At 50.7% G+C, this 19,419-nt stretch overlaps 1 protein-coding gene and 1 long non-coding RNA gene across 4 annotated transcripts in view, besides 6 other annotated features; one reads left to right on the top strand and one right to left on the bottom strand.

Moving 5' to 3' along the window:
• Positions 1–528: 528 nt before the first annotated feature.
• LOC105371701 (uncharacterized) lies at positions 529–10,594 on the bottom strand. 3 transcript variants are annotated; one of them, XR_007066824.1, is made up of 4 exons: positions 7,389–10,372; positions 1,031–1,213; positions 683–803; positions 529–607 (listed from the first exon to the last, which is right to left on the bottom strand). It is a non-coding gene; the product is annotated as an uncharacterized LOC105371701 (long non-coding RNA). The 3 variants fall into 3 exon arrangements; XR_007066825.1 differs by lacking the exon at positions 529–607 and adding an exon at positions 10,465–10,594 and having other exon boundaries at positions 633–803; positions 7,389–7,544; XR_001738415.2 differs by lacking the exon at positions 529–607 and having other exon boundaries at positions 633–803.
• Positions 1,661–2,617: an enhancer, noted in NCBI's record as "H3K27ac-H3K4me1 hESC enhancer chr1:205657475-205658431 (GRCh37/hg19 assembly coordinates)". NCBI's record gives its function as "activates a minimal SCP1, AML or CMV promoter by ChIP-STARR-seq in primed H9 embryonic stem cells {active_cell/tissue: H9 hESC(primed)}" and the evidence as "EXISTENCE:reporter gene assay evidence [ECO:0000049][PMID:30033119]".
• SLC45A3 (solute carrier family 45 member 3) overlaps positions 10,455–19,419 on the top strand; it is a 22,659-nt gene continuing 13,694 nt past the window's right edge. The window contains exon 1 of the mRNA NM_033102.3: positions 10,455–10,570. The gene's annotated coding sequence lies outside the window, so the exon portion shown is untranslated. The remainder of the gene's footprint in view (positions 10,571–19,419) is intronic.
• Positions 10,691–10,910: a silencer, noted in NCBI's record as "silent region_1747". NCBI's record gives its function as "represses an Ori minimal core promoter by ATAC-STARR-seq in GM12878 lymphoblastoid cells {active_cell/tissue: GM12878}" and the evidence as "EXISTENCE:reporter gene assay evidence [ECO:0000049][PMID:35858748]".
• Positions 12,500–12,669: an enhancer, noted in NCBI's record as "experimental_1682 CRE fragment used in MPRA reporter constructs". NCBI's record gives its function as "activates a minimal promoter by MPRAs in K562 erythroleukemia cells, with activity observed for the introgressed 1:205647508 or rs2793374 variant allele {active_cell/tissue: K562}" and the evidence as "EXISTENCE:reporter gene assay evidence [ECO:0000049][PMID:34662402]".
• Position 12,584: a transcriptional cis regulatory region, noted in NCBI's record as "Neanderthal adaptively introgressed variant 1:205647508 (GRCh37/hg19 assembly coordinates) or rs2793374 in the experimental_1682 CRE". NCBI's record gives its function as "modulates activity of the experimental_1682 enhancer by MPRAs in K562 erythroleukemia cells {active_cell/tissue: K562}" and the evidence as "EXISTENCE:reporter gene assay evidence [ECO:0000049][PMID:34662402]".
• Positions 14,575–15,075: an enhancer, noted in NCBI's record as "H3K27ac hESC enhancer chr1:205645017-205645517 (GRCh37/hg19 assembly coordinates)". NCBI's record gives its function as "activates a minimal SCP1, AML or CMV promoter by ChIP-STARR-seq in primed H9 embryonic stem cells {active_cell/tissue: H9 hESC(primed)}" and the evidence as "EXISTENCE:reporter gene assay evidence [ECO:0000049][PMID:30033119]".
• Positions 15,076–15,576: an enhancer, noted in NCBI's record as "H3K27ac hESC enhancer chr1:205644516-205645016 (GRCh37/hg19 assembly coordinates)". NCBI's record gives its function as "activates a minimal SCP1, AML or CMV promoter by ChIP-STARR-seq in primed H9 embryonic stem cells {active_cell/tissue: H9 hESC(primed)}" and the evidence as "EXISTENCE:reporter gene assay evidence [ECO:0000049][PMID:30033119]".

Here is a 19,419-nt window from a genome sequence, read left to right as displayed (position 1 = left end):
TGTTTCATCTGCTGCACCAACAGCTCTGGACAGCCAGGGAACAAATGGGATGTTCCAGCATTCTTTTTTTTTTTTTTCTGAGAGAGAGTCTCACTCTATCACCCAGGCTGGAGTGCAATGGTGCAATCTTAGCTCACTGCAACCTCCGCCTCCTGGGTTCAAGCAATTCTCCTGCCTCAGCCTCCCAAGTAGCTGGGATTATAGACACATGCCACCACGCCTGGCTAATTTTTGTATTTTTATTAATAGTAGAGATGGGGTTTCACCATGTTGGCCTGGCTGGTCTCTAACTCCTGACCTCAAGTGATCCTCCCGCCTGGCTTCCCAAAGTGCTGGGATACAGGCGTGAACCACCACGCCCGGCTGCGGTTCTAGCATTCTCTCTTCACTTCTTACTGAACAAAGGAGGCATCATTTGGCCAACATGACTGGATGGTGCTCTGCCACTACTTGTGTTTGTTCCTTCTCCCTTTTCTGGCCCTGAAGCCCAGCAGAGGGGCCCTTCCCACCAACTCCTTCTGTTCCTCTGGAGCTTCATTTGGAGTCTGGGGCTGGTGTTCCTGCTCAGACACCTGGACTCAGGCCAGTGTCTCTCCTTCCCGCAGGCCTGGATGGATTGTGCAAAATGGTACTATGCCTTGGAGCAAGAGGTTAGTTCACAACCTAGTTATTAATTACTCACTTGCTTTTTATCTTGAGCATTGCATCAGGACCGTGAGAATGGCTTTATAGCCACTTGCAGTAGGCAGTGTCAGCTTCTTGCTCCTCTCTCAATCCCAAAGATCCAGATACAGTAGTAAATCCTGCCAAAAGTTACTGGAATTCCAGTCATCTCTCACAACTCCTAGCACATTCAGGACATCCCTTCCAGAATGGGAAAAGCTACTCAGCCAGGAGGACCCCCATCATCAGAGGCCTGCAATGGGGCTTCCATATGCCATCTCACCCATCTATCATCTTCAGGCTGTATTGCACTGGACTCAGTTGTGGGGACATTTAGGGAGGAGAAGGCAGAGATTTTACACCTTACCTCAGATGCCCTGGGAAGTCCCTCCTCTAGTGTGATTCCCATCTGTCTTGCTGCAGTTCTAGGATTTTTCCTCTTGTTTGGCCCTCCTTGTCACTGGTTGAGTAAATACTGTGAGCGCACTTGATGGTGGGTGTAGCAGACTCCTCCTCCTTTTATTCCTATCTTGAAGTCAGAGAGTCAGCCCTACAGGGGAGAATGGGAATGAGACCTCTCGGCCTCTCCCCTTGCGCCCTCCTGCCCCTTGTTTGACCCTTTTATTTTCCCCACTCTGAAGACTGTGGAGTCACAGCCAGCAACCAAATCCCTTTTGAGCTCCTCAGCCTCCTGATCTGGGCTCTGTCTGAGCCTGCTGCTGCTGCCGTAACACACTGCTGAGGTGCAGAACTAATTTAGTGACAGCGGAGCCCTCTCCTCTGCTGCCTGACAGAGAACTCAGGGCTCTCAGAGCACACCCAGCTGATGCGGCCTCAGGCTCTCATTCTTCAGAGATGCCACCTTAGGCAAGTCACTTGACCTCAGTTTCCCCATCTGTAAAAGGAGGTGGCACCTGCCTACCTTAGAGGTACTTGTGAGAATCAAACCTGACGATGTTTATTAAAGAGCTTAGTAAAGCCCTTAAGTATAGCACAGAAATAAGTAATTATCTTCCACCATCACCAGCCAACTGGCCTCAAAAACTCAGCTCAGAACTTCCCCCACTCCACCCTGCTTCCTTGGATTTATCCCTCTGAACTCGGATCATTTTTGCCCTCTGGAGTTGGTTTGCAGCCTTGAGATTTTTGCATTTGCTGCCATGTTGCTGGGTCACGTTTGTGTACAACTTTCTGTTTTCCAGAGTAGACTGTCATCTCCACAAGGACAGAAACTGTATCTTGTATGATCTTCCCCATTGCCACACAGCATCACATTTAGGATTCTATACAGACAGAAGAATGAGCAAACATTCATTGTGACCAAGCAAGGTGGCTCCCATGCCTGTAATCCCAGCACTTTGGGAAGCTGAAGAGGATCGCTTAAGGTCAGGAGTTCAAGACAGCCTGGGAGACACAGTGAGTCTTTGTCTCCACAAAAAAATTTAAAAAATTAGTCAGGCATAGTGGCACACACTTGTGGTCCCAGCTACTTGGGAGCCTGAGGCAGGAGAATCACTTGAGGTAGAGACTGCAGTGAACTGTGATTGCACCATTGCACTCCAGCCTGGGCAAAAGAGCAAGACCCTTTTTCAAAGAAGAAGAAGAAAAAGCTTTCTGCATTAAAAAAAAAAAAAAAGAGGCTCAGAAGTTAAATGACTTACTCACAGGCATAAGGTTACTAGATCGATCCTAGCACTGAGCCTGACTTGTAACTGTTATTTCCTTAAATGGTCATCGAATGAGAAATGAATGACTGCATGCATGGTAAATGGCATTGGGTCTGTCTGGTTCCAGAGCCCACACTTTCTCCACTGTAGCACACAGCCCCTCAGTGATTTTAGCTGGGGAAAGATCTCCACGGGGGATGTGGAGCTGGCAGAGCTCTGTCGCCTCTGGCTGTCCCTCCCCAGTCTCAAACTCCACCCTGTAGTTAGCACCTCAGGCATCTGAGCTTGGGAGTAGAATCCCCGGTATTCACAGTGACATAATCACCTCCTCGCTCCAGGCTTTTCAGAAGCCAGTCCAGTTACCTTGGTGTCTTTGCTATTTAGAGATTTATTGGGAGGTTGTCTGGTTCTATCCTGAAACCCTCAGGGAGAAGGAGATAGCATTACCTTTTATGCCTCTGCCTCTCAGCCTTGACTGAGCTCCACCAAGCAGCCTAACCCCAATCCCAATCTGTCCTGTAATTTCTGTTTCTAAAATATGAACCATCATGGCATTTTGCTGCTGCCTCTAAAACATGGGAGGCTAAGAGACCCAGCTACTAGGGTCTTTGAGAGGAGATTGTGATGGGTTTCATTGGATTTCAGAACTGAAAAGGACCATTGTGTTCATTCGGCCTCACCTCTTACCTAGTGCCTGAAAGTCTCACAATGTCCCCATCATGCTTAATCTCTGCTTAAAGCCACTTGGGACTTGCCCCTTAGGGAAACTCCCTTAGACCTCTTCTTCCCTAACTTGAGCTCTGATCTGGCTCCCGAACTGTCTCCTCGGATGGAGGTTTGCCCTCCGAAGCCATTTCTTTTCAGCGTGGACTTTGCCTGCAGAAGAGCCAACACATTTCCATGGCAGGAATGGGTTCAGCATTTCACCACCTCTGCTTTCTGCTCAGCTAAATCTTTCTGCTTTGGAGGCACTTCTGGTCTCTTCTCTGACTTCCCGTAGGTCTGGGTGGGGAAGGGGAAGACTCAGGAGGAGGTTCAAATTGGGAGGAAAGATCCCTTTACAGAAGTGTTTCTGATGTTCATTTGTCAGGGGGATATTTCCTGAAGAAAGTGCCCTTGAAGGCCATGTTTGTTGTTTCAAAATCTTCCCTGCAGGGGCAACACTCAAACCTGAGGTCACCAGCTGTGTAGTGAAGGGCTCATTTGTCAGCAACTCCAAGGCTCTGCCATCTTGTGATGACAGTCAAGGTGGGGCATGGGTGACCTCCAGAACTAGAGGTCACAGTCATTCCTAAGCTTGGGATTTGACAGGGAAGAAGCAGCTGTCCAATTCTCCTTTCAGCGGTTTTAATTTCTTCCTCTGGTCAGGCACAGTGGCTCATGCCTGAAATCCCAGCACTTTGAGGGGCAGAGGTGGGAAGATTCCTTGAGTCCAGGAGTTTGAGGCCAGCCTGGGTAACATAGGGAGACCCCATCTCTTTAAAAAGAAAAAAAAAAACAAAGGCCAGGCGCGGTGGTTCACGCCTGTAATCCCAGCACTTTGGGAGGCCGAGGCGGGTGGATCACGAGGTCAGGAGATCAAGACCATCCTGGCTAACACGGTGAAACCCTGTCTCTACTAAAAACACAAAAAAGTAGCCAGGCGTGGTGGCGGGCACCTGTGGTCCCAGCTACTCCGGAGGCTGAGACAGGAGAATGGCGTGAACCCGGGAGGCGGAGCTTGCAGTGAGCCGAGATCGCGCCACTGCACTCCAGCCTGGGCAACAGAGCAAGACTCCGTCTCAAAAATAAAAAAATAAATAAAAAAAAATTTTAAAAGTCCTGTCCTCACAGAGTATCCCAAACTCAGAGAGCTGGGTGCAGGTTCTTTCTTCACCCTTTCCAAACTCTGTTCCATCTTACTTCTTTTCACCAGACCTTCCTAAGCATTTCAGTTAAGGAGGCTCCTGGGGCTGGTTCTCCTGTTCAGGTTCCTGATCTCTCCGTGACTCCAGTCGTTTGGATGGAAGTGGAGTGTTGCAGTCCACACAGGGGAACACCTGCCATGGTGATCTCTCATTCCTCTTTCTTTCTCCTTTCTTCATGTTATTTTATTCCTGCCCTTTAAAAATATTTTTATTGATTCTTTTCTATTTACAAAAGCAATTTTTGATGCAGATAGAAGACTTAAAGACTCAAAAAAGTTCTCTTAGCACCCCCTCAAAATTAAAGTCATTCTTCCACTCATAAAAAGGCAGTATCCGAGCTGGGTGTTGTGGCTCATGCAGATAATCCCAGCACTTTGGGAGGCCAAGGTGGGTGGATCACAAGGTCAGGAGTTCGAGACCAGCCTGACCAACATGGTGAAACCCCATCTCTACTAAAAATACAAAAATTATCCGGGCGGGTGGCGGGCGACTGTAATCCCAGCTACTCAGGAGGCTGAGGCAGGAGAATCACTTGAACCTGGGAGGTGGAGGTTGCATTTAGCTGAGATGGCACCACTGCATTCCAGCCTGGGTGACAGAGTGAGACTCCCTCTCAAAAACAAAACAGTATCCGGCCAGGCGTGGTGGCTCACGCCAGTAATCCCAGCACTTTGGGAGGCCAAGGAGGGTGGATCACCTGAGGTCGGGAGTTCGAGACCAGCCTGACCAACATGGAGAAACCCCGTCTCTACTAAAAATACAAAATTAGCTGAGCATGGTGGCGCATGCGTGTAATCCCAGCTACTAGGGAGACTGAGGCAGGAGAATCGCTTGAATCTGGGAGGTGGAGGTTGCGGTGAGTGGAGATTGCGCCACTACACTCCAGCCTGGGCAACAAGAGCAAAAACTCCATCTCAAAAAACAAACAAACAAAAAAACAGTATCCACATTGTGGTTATGTCTTTCCTTTCTTATAGTTTCCTCTCTTTAGATATATACCTAAACAACTTTTTATCTTGGAATCATTTTAGATTTATGGGAAAACTGCACAGATAATACTAAGTTCCCATATGCCCTTCAACCAGTTTCCCCTAATGTTAACATCTTACAATACCATATTACAATAATCAAAACTGCAAAATTGGCCGGGTGTGGTGGCTCACGCCTGTAATCCCAGCACTTTGGGAGGCCGAGGTGGGTGGATCGCTTGAGGCCAGGAGTTCGAGACCAGCCTGGCCAACATGGCAAAACCATGTCTACTAAAAATACAAAAATTAGCCAGGCATGGTGGTGCATGCCTGTAATCCTACTCGGGAGGCTGAGGCATTAGACTTGCTTGAATCTGGGAGGTGGAGGTTGCAGTGAGCCGAGAATACGCCACTGCACTCCAGCCTAGGTGACGACAGAGTGACACTCTGTCTCAAAAAACAAAAAATAAACAAAAAAACCTGAGAAATTGGCCAGACCTGATGGCTCACATCTGCAATCCTGGCACTTTGGGAGGCCAAGGCAGGAGGATCACTTGAGCCCAGGAGTGTGAAACCAGTCCTGGCAACATAATGAGGCTCTGTCTGTACAAAAAATGCACACCTATAGTCCCAGCTATTCAGGAGACTTGAGGTGGGAGGATCGCTTGGGCGTAGGAGGTCGAGGCTGCAGTGAGCCATGGTTGCGCCACGGCTCCAGCCACTGCACTCCAGCCTGGGCAACAGAGCAAGACCCTGTCTCAAAAACAAAAACAATACTGAGAAATTAGTACTGGCGGCACTATTTATTAAACTACAGACTTTATTCAGACTCCACCAGTTTTTCCACTAATGTCCCTTTTCTGTTCCAAGATCCAATCTTGTTGCCTTAGTATATATACAATTAAAAAAAATGTATATCCCACTGTACACCATTTTGTTGCTGGCTTTTTCCACTTAGTAGTATACCATAAGGCCGGGCATGGTGGCTTATGCCTGTAATCCCAGCACTTTGGGAGGCCGAGGCGGGCAGATCATTTGAGGTCAGGAGTTCGAGACCAGCCTGGCCAACATGGAGGAACTCCATCTCTACTAAAAATACAAAACCTAGCTGGACATACTCACTTGAACCCAGGAGGCAGAGGTTGCTGTGAGCCGAGATCGGCTGCTATTGTGCCAAGAGCGAGACTCTCTCTCAAAAAAAAATAATAAAATATCATAAACATTTCCCCAGGCTGTTAAAATTATTATTATTGGGCCAGGCGCGGTGGCTCACACCTGTAATCCCAGCACTTTGGGAGGCCGAGGCGGTCAGATCACGAGGTCAGGAGATCGAGACCATCCTGGCTAACAGGTGAAACCCCATCTCTACTAAAAATACAAAAAAAAAAAAAAAAAAAAAAGGTTAGCTGGGCGTGGTGGTTGGTGCCTGTAGTCCCAGTTACTCAGGAGGCTGAGGCAGGAGAATGGCGTGAACCCGGGAGGCGGAGCTTGCAGTAAGCCGAGATTGTGCCACTGCATTCCAGCCTGGGAGACAGAGCGAGACTACGTCTCAAAAAATATATATATTATTATTTTTCTTGAGATGGAGTCTCGCTCTCCATCTCAAGAAAAATTGAGTGCAGGCTAGAGTGCAGTGGCACTATCTTTGCTCACTTCAACCTCCGATTCCCAGGTTCAAGCGATTCTCCTGCCTCAGCCTCCCAAGTAGCTAGGATTACAGGCTCCCGCCACCACGTCTGGCTAATTTTTGTATTTTTAGTAGAGGTGGGGTTTCGCCATGTTGATCAGACTGGTCTCAATCTCCTGACCTCAAATGATCCACCCACCTCCGCCTCCCAAAGTGCTGGGATTACAGATGTGAGCCACCATGCCTAGCTTATTAAAATTATTCTATGCCATCATTTTTAATGGCAGTATAGTGTTCTATTGAGTGGATTTGCCATAAGTTGCTTAGCCAATGGCTTATTATTCTACATTTAAATTGTTTCTAATTTTTCACTATTATAAAGAATGATGAAATGAAAAACTCTTACATACTTCTGATATACACATCTCTGATTATTTTGCCACCAGAGAAATTCCAGAAATGGAATTGCTGTGTTCAGGGGGCTCATCCCTCCTTCCAAGTCCACAGCCAGGATTTGGCCTTGCTGCTGGCCCTTATGCCTGAAGAGACTGCTCACCCTCATCCTGAGGCAGACAGCACAGACATCTCAAAGTGGACCACCGGCCCTGGATGATGGAGATGGCAAGAGATGGGAACAGCAAGGGAGCTCCAGGTCCTTCATGACTTCTCAGGCTTCCGTGAGGCCAACCAGATGCAGCTGGGTATCTGGTCTCTGTGGAATGAGAAGGATGCTTGCTCTTAGCCCAAGGACAATGAGGAGGGGCTGTGTGTGGGGGTGGGGCAGAGACTGCTAATGCATTTTGCCAGCATCTTTGGTTTCTCCAATATCCAGCTAGACTATTAGCAGTTCCCCAAGGATGGCCTTGCTCCTCACATCATCCCCCATTTCCTATAAATGGGAAGTGGCTGGGGAGTAATGTGTGTGTGTGTGTGTGTGTGTGTGTGTGTGTGTGTGTGTGTGTGTGTGGTGGGGGAGGGAAGAGAGAGGAAGGGAAAGGGCAATGGTGGTTTTCCTACAGCGGACCTCATGGACAAGTGAGGCCCAGAGAAGTTGTTATTTGCCCAGAATGCCACAGCATCCTAGAGGGTAGTACGGGTTTTCTCTGAGGCTCTGAAGTCACTGGCCAGGCTTGCTGAGGGATTGCTGCCTCTGCCTTGTTTCTGGGGCCCAGAGACTGTTTTTTTCTGTGTAATCAGGGGCTGTGGGTGAAGTAACTGCCCTGAGGAATTGCCTCCGTTATGTTTTTTTTTGTTTTTTGTTTTGTTTTGTTTTGTTTTGATGGTGTCTTGCTCTGTCACCCAGGCTGGAGTGCAGTGGCATGATCTCAGCTCACTGCAACCTCCGCCTCCTAGGTTCAAGCCATTCTCCTGCCTCAGCCTCCCTGGTAGCTGGGATTACAGGTGCGCACCACCATAACCAGCTAATTTTTGTATTTTTAGTAGAGACAGAGTTTCACCATGTTGGCCAGGCTGGTCTCAAACTCCTGACCTCGTGATCTGCCCACCTTGGCCTCCCAAAGTGCTGGGATTACAGGCGTGAGCCACTGCACCTGGCCAATTGCCTCTGTTTTGTCTGAAAATGGTACCAGTCTCTTGGGTTGTGCTAAGGATTCAATGAGTTAATACACACAAAGTATTTAGAAACAGTGCCTGGCACAATTAGTAATGGTTAACTATTATTATTATTATTATTATTATTTTGAGACGGAGTCTCGTTCTGTCGCCCAGGCTGGAGTGCAGTGGCACCATCTCGGCTCACTGCAAGCTCCGCCTCCCGGGTTCGCGCCATTCTCCTGTCTCAGCCTCCGGAGTAGCTGGGACCACAGGTGCCTGCCACCACGCCTGGCTACTTTTTTGTGTTTTTAGTAGAGGCAGGGGTTCATCGTGTTAGCCAGGATGGTCTTGATCTCCTGACCTCGTGATCCGCCCGCCTCGGCCTCCCAAAGTGCTGGGATTACAGGCGTGAGCCACTGCGCCTGGCCAACTATTATTATTATAACATGAGGCTACATCAGCAGAAAGAGGGGGATTTTCAGAGCAGAGAGCCCTACTGTACCCTGTATTGGGTGGGGCCTGGCCAGTGCATCCACCTGGTTTAGTTGGGAAGGGGTGATTGGGTAGGGCCCAGGATCACCATGGGATCCAGGCTGTGTGCTCACTCCCCTGAGCTCTCCTTCCTCATCCCCCTGTCATAAGGCATAAAGCACAAGGGCCCCTGGAAAGAAGTGGTGGGAGGCAGGAGGAAGAGGGGGGCTCTTACTTGTCTGTGGTGCGACAACTCTCTCATGTTCCCAGTGTTCTTTCCCAAGCCTGCAAAATACCACCGTCCACTCTCTCCTGGCTCTGTAATTTTCCAGCTGACCTGAAATTTCCCCTGACTCCTGACCTCTTTCCTGGAGGAGAGGGGACACCAGCTCAGAGACCCTGGACTCCACCCTAGTCTCTCTGCTTGCCACGAGAGGGTATGCCAAAGACTTTGGAAAGCCATCTCCAGGAGGGTCCCCAGGTAGAGGTGTGTCTGCTCCAGGGAGGCAACGCTGAGACAGTTTTCAAGTTAAACTTGTTTAGTGACTCAGAAGGTAGATTCTTGATTTTTCTCTTCTCAACTCTCTCTGGCACCTGCTCTCTGTTCCCCACTACCACCAGGGCGCCACTATTTCCTCTCCCTTCTCTATCTCCCTTTCTTCTCTGCCTCCTTCTACCTCTCAGCTGGAAGGTGCCCTTAGAAATCATTTGGCTCACCCCCTCTTACAGAGGCCCAGAACATGGAAGGGACTTGGCCCACGTTATACGGCTGTTGACACAGGGCCAGCATTGGAACCCAGTGCCCCAGTGCCTGGTTGGCTAAGGCCAACCAGGTCTTCCCCTTCGAAGGCATCTTCCTGGGACTTTGTAGTATTCAAGTCAACAATCCAACTAAATTGGATTTCTCTCCACCCAATAAAACTCCATGGAGGAAAAAAAGACAAAACTGCCCCCCAACCCCCAACCCCAGGGCCAGCCTGGGACTCCATCAAAGACATTCTGGAACAGGTATCTGTTCGGACCTTGCTCAACAGCTGACAAAGAGAACATTTCATTGGCAATTTATCATCCATTCTTCCCCGTACACACTCTTAAGAAGAAAAAAAATTGGAATTTGGTTTTCAGCGCAGAAAGAGGGATTGAGTTAGCTCTGTCTGCGTCGGAGAATAGCAAAGAGCAGAAGGGTAATTCGGAGAGAATGTGACATCTCCTTTGAAGGGATGGTCCTGGACAGGTAGGGAGCAGCTCTGCCTGGAGATCGGGTGGCCAGAATGGCACGCCTGGGTAATGGTCGCAGCAGACTGGCTCCGAGTAGGGGAGGGGAGGTGCCCCGCGAAGCCGGGTAGCTTTCACCTAAATGTTTGGTGGCGAGCGACAGAGGGGGCGGTGCCCTGCCCTAGGTAATGATAGGGCAGTCTGGGAGCCACGCGGGGGCTGCCCGTCGCGGCGCGGCTACAAAGCCAGCTTCGAGACCTCCCGCTTTCTTCCCCTGGGTACCAGCCCCACCCCTCTATCCCCCCTCGCAGCACCCCCCACCTCCGTCCCGCCTCGCCCCGCCCCCCTCCTGGCAGTCCCAGCGCGCATGCTCTCTCCCCCCGCGGAGTAACCTGGAGATTTAAAAGCCGCCGGCTGGCGCGCGTGGGGGGCAAGGAAGGGGGGGCGGAACCAGCCTGCACGCGCTGGCTCCGGGTGACAGCCGCGCGCCTCGGCCAGGTAGGAGCGCGCCCCCTCCTCTCCCAGGGGTGAGGGTCCCGGCGCGGGAAAGGGAGCAGCAGTGCACGGCCGAGCTCCGCGCTGTCGCGTGTTTTGCGCCCCGCGGGATGGGGCTGCGCCGTGGCCGTCCGGGGCGCTGCGCGCCGAGCCCCGCGCGAATCCCAGAGGAGGGCGCGTCCCACACGCTCTGCCGGGGCGGGTGCCGAGTGCCCGGCGCCTGCACGGGTCCCCGCTGAGCTGTGCTTTCTTCCGCGGAGGGCGGGCAGGCAGGAGGTGCCCGCGCTGTCCCAGGCGGGGCGGCGGTGTGGGCGGGGAGCGGCCCCTCCCCGGAGCCCCGGGCCGGGCCGGACCGGGCCGGGCCGACGGCTGGCGGACCGGCCGCTGGCTCCTGTTGCAGCCTCCCGTGTCAGACTTTTCTTTGGAAAGTTGCGTTTATTTTCTTCTCTTGTCTGGGCTTCACCGGAAAGGGGCAGGATGAGTCACTGCGGCGCGCACAGTCCGGGACTTGGGGGAGCCGGGACGGGAGCCGACGGCCGCGGCGCCGCGGGGTGCTCAGGCCCAGGCCGGCTTTCTTGAGGAAGAGTGAGTTATTAAGACAGGGAAAGGGGACTGAGCCCTCTTGGACTTAGAACTGGGGCGAGCTCTGGGTACAGAGTTGGGACTGGACCGTGTGTGTGTGTGTGTGTGTGTGTGTGTGTGTGTGTGTGTTACTGTGTCCCCTTTTCAGCCTCAGTTTCCCCCTCTGTGGGGAGAGAAAGGCCGCTGTTTTCTCCTCGCCTCCCAGGTCTCAGGTGGGGAAGGACAGAGTTCTGCAAACGGCAAACAGGTGTGATGTGGTGGTACCTAGGCATCCCGTGCAGCTTCTCAGAGCTCTGGGCCTAGGCAGGCTTGCTAGAAAAGCCCCAGGGACCTGCATGCTTTCTCCCTAGTGCGGGTCAGGCCTTCCTGTAGTCTTCCGCTCCCCCCAGGCACTGCAGTCCTGTGAGTTGCTCTTGCCCTTGACCTCTGAATCAGCCTCCATCTTCCTGACAGACACTCTTGACCTGCTCAGCTTTTCCCCACTCCAGGGCGTGTTCCCTATGCTTCCTCTTTTTCCAAGGGGCCAGAGTTGGGGGTAGGGAGGGGTTTGGCATGGTGGGTACCTGGTGAGGACTCGCCCTTCAGCTGTTACACAGACCCGGTCCCGGTGGAGCAGGGACTAAGAATAGCCCAGCTGCTGTCTTGCTGCCCTGGAGTCTGCAGCCGGGCATTGCCAGTTGACCAGGGCCCGCAGTGACCCTTGCTGGGGTCCTGGAACCTTTGCTCAGGGGTGGGGTTGAGGTCCTAGGGGCTTCGGACTACCTTTCCTGAGGCACTTAGCAGATCTCCTTTCAGAGCAGAGACCGCCTTGGTGTAGACTCACCTGCCCGAGGCCTGGGAAACAGGCTGGCCTATTGGGGTGGGAGTGGGAGGGCCCAGGAGGCCCAGGCTAGACGGGAAGCCTGAGGAAACCCATAGAGCAGCATATTGTAGGGGATAAGTGGGACGCAATTTGAGGTCGCAGGCCATTCTGTTGGATCAGTCCCATTCCCTCATTCCTCCCTTATCTCCTCCCACCAGGCCTGTCGTGGAGCCAGGACTCTGTTGTTCTGAAAGTGCTCAGAAAATGCAGCTTGAGTCAGCAGAATGAGTTTGAAGATAAAAATACAGCTGTGGATGAATGTACAGCTGTGGACAGACAGGCCCCAATTTAGTGGGTGTGTGTTAGGGGGAGTTTTCCTATGTATTCATGGAGTGTGTGGTGAACTTCCCCATCCCTCCTGGCTCCCTGAATAACGTTGAAGGAGGAGGAGGAGTAGACAGTGATCCCTGGTGGTCTCCTGAGCCCATTCCAGGCCACTGGGTGGTGGAGGGATAGTGGAGGCCTCTCTCCAGCTCTCCCCTTACCCAGACTGGAGCTCTCAGCCTGGGCAGGGCTGGTCTGAAGATTCAAAGTAAAGTTAACTTGAAGACTTTAAGTACTATCATCTGGACGTCACAGCCTGATAAGTCAACATGGATAAAAACCCAGACTGTCAGAAAGATAGTTTCTTTTTTTAGACGAAGTTTCACTCTTGTTGCCCAGGCTGGAGTGCAATGTCACGATCTCAGCTCACTGCAGCCTCCGCCTCCTGGGTTCAAGTGATTCTCCTCCCTCAGCCTCCCAAGTAGCTGGGATTACAGGCACCCACCACCATGCCTGGCTAATTTTTGTATTTTTAGTAGATACAGGGTTTTACCATGTTGGCCAGGCTTGTCTTGAACTCCTGACCTCAGGTGATCCACCCGCCTCAGCCTCCCAAAGTGCTGGGATTACAGGTGTGAGCCACCGCACCCGGCCAGAAAGAAAGTTTCTATATTGGCTGCTTCACTAGGTGAGCTCCACCAGCTTGGCAAGTTACATAACCTCGTCCAAGCCTCAGTATCCCTGGCTGCAAAATGGGAATGATAATACTTACTGTATAGCTTTGTTAAGTAGATTATAACAGACATAAAATTTATAAACATATAATTACGTTATATATAGTCTAAAAATTATAGCTTTATTAAATATTGTATATAGAATACTAAACTGTGTGTCTGACACATAAGTGCTCAATAAATGTTAGTACCAACTATATATTGTATCGATCATTTGGGACTGAATGGACAGCAGTGCCTAGCCTGGGACTCTCCTCTTGGGCCTTGCTCTTAAAAAACAGAAAACAAAAATCTGCTCTAGACCTTATTTCTTTGGTAGCAAGGTCTCCTGGACTTTGGGGAGTCCGTTGAGAGATTGAGCTTTGGCAAAATGATTTTAATCTGATTTCCTCTTGCACAAGTTATTTAAACTGTTTCAACTTCCTCCTCTGTAAAATGAGGATAATAGTACCTACCTCACAGTATTTCCAGGATTAAATAAGCTGATGTAGGTAAAGCTCTGAGCACAGCAGCTGCTTGTAAAAAGAGCTTGATAAATGTCAGCTGCTGTTATTTGGTGACAATGGAGCCAATCATTGTGGTTTACACTTAGAAACCAGAGTTTCTTAGCAAGGGAATCGGCCCGTAGATAACTATATGTAAGCTACGAAGGACGCATCTGCAGTTGAACTTGTGGTCCTGTGCAAAGATCACAGCAGGACTGGATGTCCGTGTCTCTCCTCTACTACTCTGCTACTGTGTGACTTCTATTTAATTAGTGCAGAAACCCCTGCCCAGCCTACCTTCCCAGAGTGTACCCCTCAGGCTGGAAAAGGGTACCATGAACATGAATGTATATCCTGAGAAGTTAAGAGCCTTCTATGCAAACAGTTATTTGTTGTTATTTTTAGGAAAACTGTATAGGGAGGGTGCCCTGAAGTTGGGATTCTGCTCTGTCCTCCCTCCCCAACCCTTAGGATCTTTTGCACTGTTCTTTGGTGTCCAGAAAAAAACCCAGCCTAGCTTTCTTTGAACAGTTAGTGGCCCTGTTTGCTGGGCAGCAGGGGTGGAGACTGGACCAGCTGGTACCAGGCCCAGTGTCTTGAACACTGATGCCACTCGACTCCCAGCAATAGAGCTGGAGTGTTGAGCTTTGTCCAGTGTATTAAGTGTCCCTGCTTGGGCTGGGGAGGGGGGCAGCTGGTGACAGAGCCATCACGGGATGCTCCTGATCCCTGGCCAGAACTTCCTGTTGAATCCTGTTTTCTACTACATGGTCTGTGTTTTCCCCTCCACGGGAAGAAGTCCACAGTTTTGCCACCAGCCCTGACTGACTTGTGGAATCTCTTGCTTCTGATGTTGGACATGGGCCTGCTTCCCCTGTTGGCCTTGACTTCATTGCCTGTAAAATGGAGATGAGATTCACCTTGCATGGTTATGGTGAGGATTAAGCGTGATGTGCATATTCAGCCAAGCACCTGCACACGCCAGGTGTTCCATAGATGTTTGTTCCTTTCCCCTTCTTTGTTACTTCTGGAGATCACTTTCTGGGGAGTGGGGACCAGCCAGCAAGAAGGGGTTTGGAGGCCACTTCCTGGCGCTGTAGTCCACAGTCCCCCAGTCACCATATCCAGGATAGCAGGATGCCCAGCCAGAGGGGATACCCTCAGGAGCAGCCAGCCCACAACAGCAGTTCTTGTCTTTCCCCTGTGGTCGCTGTGTGCCCCCCTGCCCCCGGCCTCGCTAATCTCAAGTGTACTTTGAGTTGGCAAATAGTGTTCAAGCTAGGAGTGCCTGGCCCATCCCTAGGGATGTGGCAATTTAGATTCCCACTCCTGGCTCCTGTCCTTAGTGAGCGGAGCACCCAGCTAGCTTGAATGTGGCCCTGCCTGGATCCCAGGCACACTGGTAAAGTCACATCCAATGGGAATCCTGATTCAGCCTTACCCATAGGCTTTCTCTTGGGTACCTACTCTTCTCAGGGCCTGTGCTTCCTGCTTTCCAGGAGCTGAAGCACTAGTGGGGAGGATGGCAGTGGGGGAAGGACTGCAAATCCAAGACCCTGAGGACCGTGGGCAGCGTCCAACCCTGGGGGCTGCCTGGTTAGAGCAGTTGAGATTTAGCAGGGAGAGGGGATACTTGACGGCTTGGTTTCCAGGGGGCTGTGGAGGAGGTGTGAGATTGGAGCTGGGCAGGGCTCAGGTGGAGGGGACAGGCAGTCCAGGAAGGGGAAGTAACTGGAGCACGGTGACCACCTTGGAAGCAAAAACAAGCCTAGTGCTGATGAATTCCCTTATTTGGGTGCCCATGGAGGTATGCTGAATAATCTAGGGACACGCAGATAGCCAGCCCAGATCTGAGATCAAAACCCAGTCTCATGATTTTCAGTCCGGTATTGTTTCCAGCACACCTCACTGGGGAGAGACCAAAAGGAGGGGTGGGAGTGATTAGAAGTCCCAGGCTCCAAGGGCCTTGTTTTACAGACATACACCCTTTTCTGCTGTTGGGGCTCAGAAAACAATACCCCAAAGTGAAGGCCTCAGAGGCAAAGTTTCTGTCTGATCTCCTGTCTCTTACCCCTTATTCTCTTCCGAGGCAGGCCAAAGCGAATCCCTCTTTTCCAGGGCAGGTCATAGAAACTAGAAGCCTTCTCCCCAAAGCCAGCCATACAGCCTAAAAATATTACTCTTTCTCCTGGCTTTCTAGGTAAGAACTGGTGATCAAGAAATGATCTGACCTGCCTTGTTTGATAGTAGGTCATAAGGCCCTCATTGCAGAGGGGTCCTACCCCATTCCTGGGAGGAAGAAATCTGGCAACGGAGAGGCCAAGAAGAATCTGGACAGGCCTTGCTGGGCTTCACCACTCAGTCTATTAGCATTAGCTCATACCATTTTTGTCTGGTCACATTTCTGCATCCTGTGTGTGCTTCCTCAAACCTAAGCATAAAAATGGATACTTAGGCTGGGCGCGGTGGCTCACGCCTGTAATCCCAGCACTTTGGGAGGCCGAGTTGGGTGGATCAGCTGAGGTCAGGTGTTCGAGACCAGCCTGGCCAACACAGTGAAACCCCACCTCTACTAAAAATACAAAAATTAGCCTGGCGTGGTGACACACGCCTGTAGTCCCAGCTACTTGGGAGGTGGAGGCAGGACAATTGCTTGAATCCGGGAGGCAGAGGTTGCAGTGAGCTGAGATCGTGCACTGCACACCAGCCTGGGCAACAGAATGAGAGCTAGTCTCAAAAAGAAAAAAGAAAAGATACTTCACCCTGGGTCTTTGGGTTTTCATTTCTAAGGGCTCTTGTGTCATACAAAACTATGATCAAATAAATTTGTATGCTTTTCTCTTTTTTTTTTTTTTTTTTTTTTTTTTGAAACAGCATCAATTTTGGATGGCATCTCGCTCTGTTGCCCAGGCTGGAGTGCAGTCACGCAATCTCAGCTCACTGCAACCTCTGCCTCCCAGGTTCAAGCGATTCACCTGCCTCAACCTCCTGAGTAGCTGGGATTACAGGCACGTGCCACCACACCCAGCTAATTTTTGTATTTTTAGTAGAGATGAGGTTTTACCATGTTGCCCAGGCTGGTCTCAAACTCCTGACCTCAAGTCATACGCCTCCCTCAGCCTCCCAAAGTGCTGGGATTACAGGCGTGAGCCACTGTGCCCAGCCTGTTGTGCTTTTCTCTTGTTACCATATCTTTCGTTATAGAAGTGTCAGTTCTGACCTTTATGATAGGGAGGAAAAAGGGATCTCCCCCACCCCCACCCCTATATTGCGTGGTACCTACCTGCTTATCCTTCAAGGCTAAGCAACATGGCCATTCCCTCTAGGAAGCCCTGGAAGAACTGCATGTGCCCCCCACATTGGGTCCCACCCCCTCACGTGGATTTGTATCTTCACACTTGTGCCACTGTGCCATCTCATTGCACACCGATTGCATTTTATCCCTTTTGCCAAAGGGAGCTGCGATCAGTTGTTTTCTGTGTCCCCAGCATCTTCACAGCAGGCTTATACACAATTGAGGCTCTGTGGTGTTGGGTGTGGGTAGGTGGGTTTCAGTGCTGTCTGACATTCCCTTAGGGGAGGTTAGGTTGCATGCACTGAGGTATACTTCCAAGGGTCAGCAAGCTTGGGATCTTTAAATCAGAAAATGAGTTTCTTTGAGAGCCTACCCTTTCCTTGCTCACCACTGAGAGTGACTGTTTTTGAGAACACACTTGCAGAGTACTGAGTCTGACTTGGAGCCCTCTCTTTATAAATGGGACTGATCACAGACTCTAGGACTCAGATCTAATAAAGCCTTACAGGCCAATGAGTTTGAAACCCTAGAGGTGTGGGACATGGCAGAGTTGGAACCAGCACCATGGTCTGACTCTTGGTGCAGGGCACTGCCCATCTGTAGGTTTGCATAGATCTTTAGTCTCCTGGCCTCTTTCCTGTATACCTCACCTCCTAAGGGAGGCCAGGCTAAAGGGAAGACTAGGATTGGCTGTACATGGACAGGGAGAGCTGTCTAGCCTGGCTGACTGGCAGAGTTCAAGTTCAGTAGGAGGAAAGCCATTTAGGCTTCTCTTTTCAGTGGCTGTACGAAAAGGCAGGATGGGGGGAAGGAATTTCCGAGTGGCCTGGACACTGTGCCAAGCTCCCTCTTCCCCCTCCATGTTCATATTCCCCTACCTTGGGCCAAGGAATTTCTTGGTACTGCTGCCCCACCTTGTAGGGAAGCATTTATTGTGGCCCAAGAAGAGAATTCAGTTACTAATTTCTGCCAGGAACAGAGTCCAACTCTGGGAAGGACTAGGGAAGAGGGCAGTTCTACCCCCAGATGTCCTGGTTATTCGGCTTAGTTTCAGGTGACCGCTGACCCTTGGCACTGTGTTGGTACCTGAGAGTGTGTGGGCAGGTGAAGGATGGGGTAAGTGCGGCTGGGGTGTCCTTCTCCACCTCATTCCCCTTGACTCATTGGTAGGAGGCCATGAAAGTCCAAATACAAAGTAGGGATTTTATATTCCTATTTCACAAGGGTGAACATGAATCCCTTCCTGAATGTCATGTAGCCTCATCAGTGAGCCCTTAGGGGGTACCTGCCCGTGAAGAAGCAACTGCCGGGGGTAGGGGGTGCATGTGAGATCACCTGGTTGCACAGATGTAAAGAACCTTCGGCATTATCCAGATTAGCTCTCATTTTACAGGTGTAGAAACTGAGTCCCAGAGAGGTGAGATGGCCTGTCTAGGCTACACAGCTCTTAAAAAAAGTGGCTGAAACAGGACTGCCCTCTCCTGGCTCCCAGTTCAGAGCACCTTCCAGCATTTTCAAATGGTTCGAATTTTCTGCTCAACCACTGTTTATTTGTGCAACCTTGGGCATGTTACGTTCTGAGACTGAGCTGTTCATCTCGAATATGAATATTAAACACCTACCTTGGATTTGGAGCGTATGAATTGTATGAGTTATTAGAGAGAAGGTACAATATATCAAGTACCTGGCACACGCTAGACGCCTCTGAGGCAGTTAGTAGGGGTCGGCCACTGTGTTCATTTTCCCTGTGGATGGAAATCGTGCTGTCTCATAACTATGGGATCTTTGTCCCACCTTCTACCTCCCTTCTCAGCCTTCCTCCAGCAGGCAGGTCTGCTGCAGTGACCTCTCCTCACCTGTTGGGGCCAGCACCTGGGGAGGCAGTTGCATTCTTGGCATTCCTCTTGCTGCTAGGGGCTGAAAGAGGCGCTGGTGTGGTGGGGGAGGCACGTGGGTGAGGGGGGGGAATGGAAACCGAGAAGAAAGTGTACTTGGTCTCCCCTAACCACAGCCGCTCCTGTTTGGGAATGAGAAAGCCCTTCCTCCACTGAGGAGGCGACCAAAGAAGTGGCCGCCAGGAACTTTCATATCCTGTATCTCAAACACACTCCACATCTATGAAGTTGGTGGTATTAATCTAAGTTTCTGTGCCTGTAAAATGGGTATACTAATTGTACCCACCTCATCGGATGGTTGGAAGATCAAGACGCACGGCAGAGTGCCTAGTATGTATTATAACCTCAATGTTGGCTGCTATTGTGCGTTTTCTTTTCTGTTTTGTGTGCGTGTTTGTGGTTTTTTGTTTGTTTGAGACAGAGTCACCCTGTTGCCCAGGGTGGAGTGCAGTGTGGCATGATCTCGGTTCACTGCAACCTTGACCTCCCGGTTTCAAGCAATTCTCATGCCTCAGCCTCCCGAGTAGCTGGGATTACAGGTATGTGCCGCTATGTCTGGGCCTGGCTAATTTTTGTATTTTTAGTAGAGACGGGGTTTCACCATTTTGGCCAGGCTGGTGTCAAACTTCTTGACCTCAGGTAATCTGCCTGCCTCGGCCTCCCAAAGTGCTGGGATTACAGGCGTGAGCCACCGTGCCCGGCCTGCTGTTGTTCATTGTGGATGAGGAAACTGAG

The sequence above is a fragment of the Homo sapiens genome, chromosome 1 (assembly GCF_000001405.40).
Source record: "Homo sapiens chromosome 1, GRCh38.p14 Primary Assembly".
NCBI lineage: Eukaryota > Metazoa > Chordata > Mammalia > Primates > Hominidae > Homo > Homo sapiens.
Note: the sequence above shows the minus strand (reverse complement) of the source record. Positions and strands in the feature narration are given on the sequence as shown.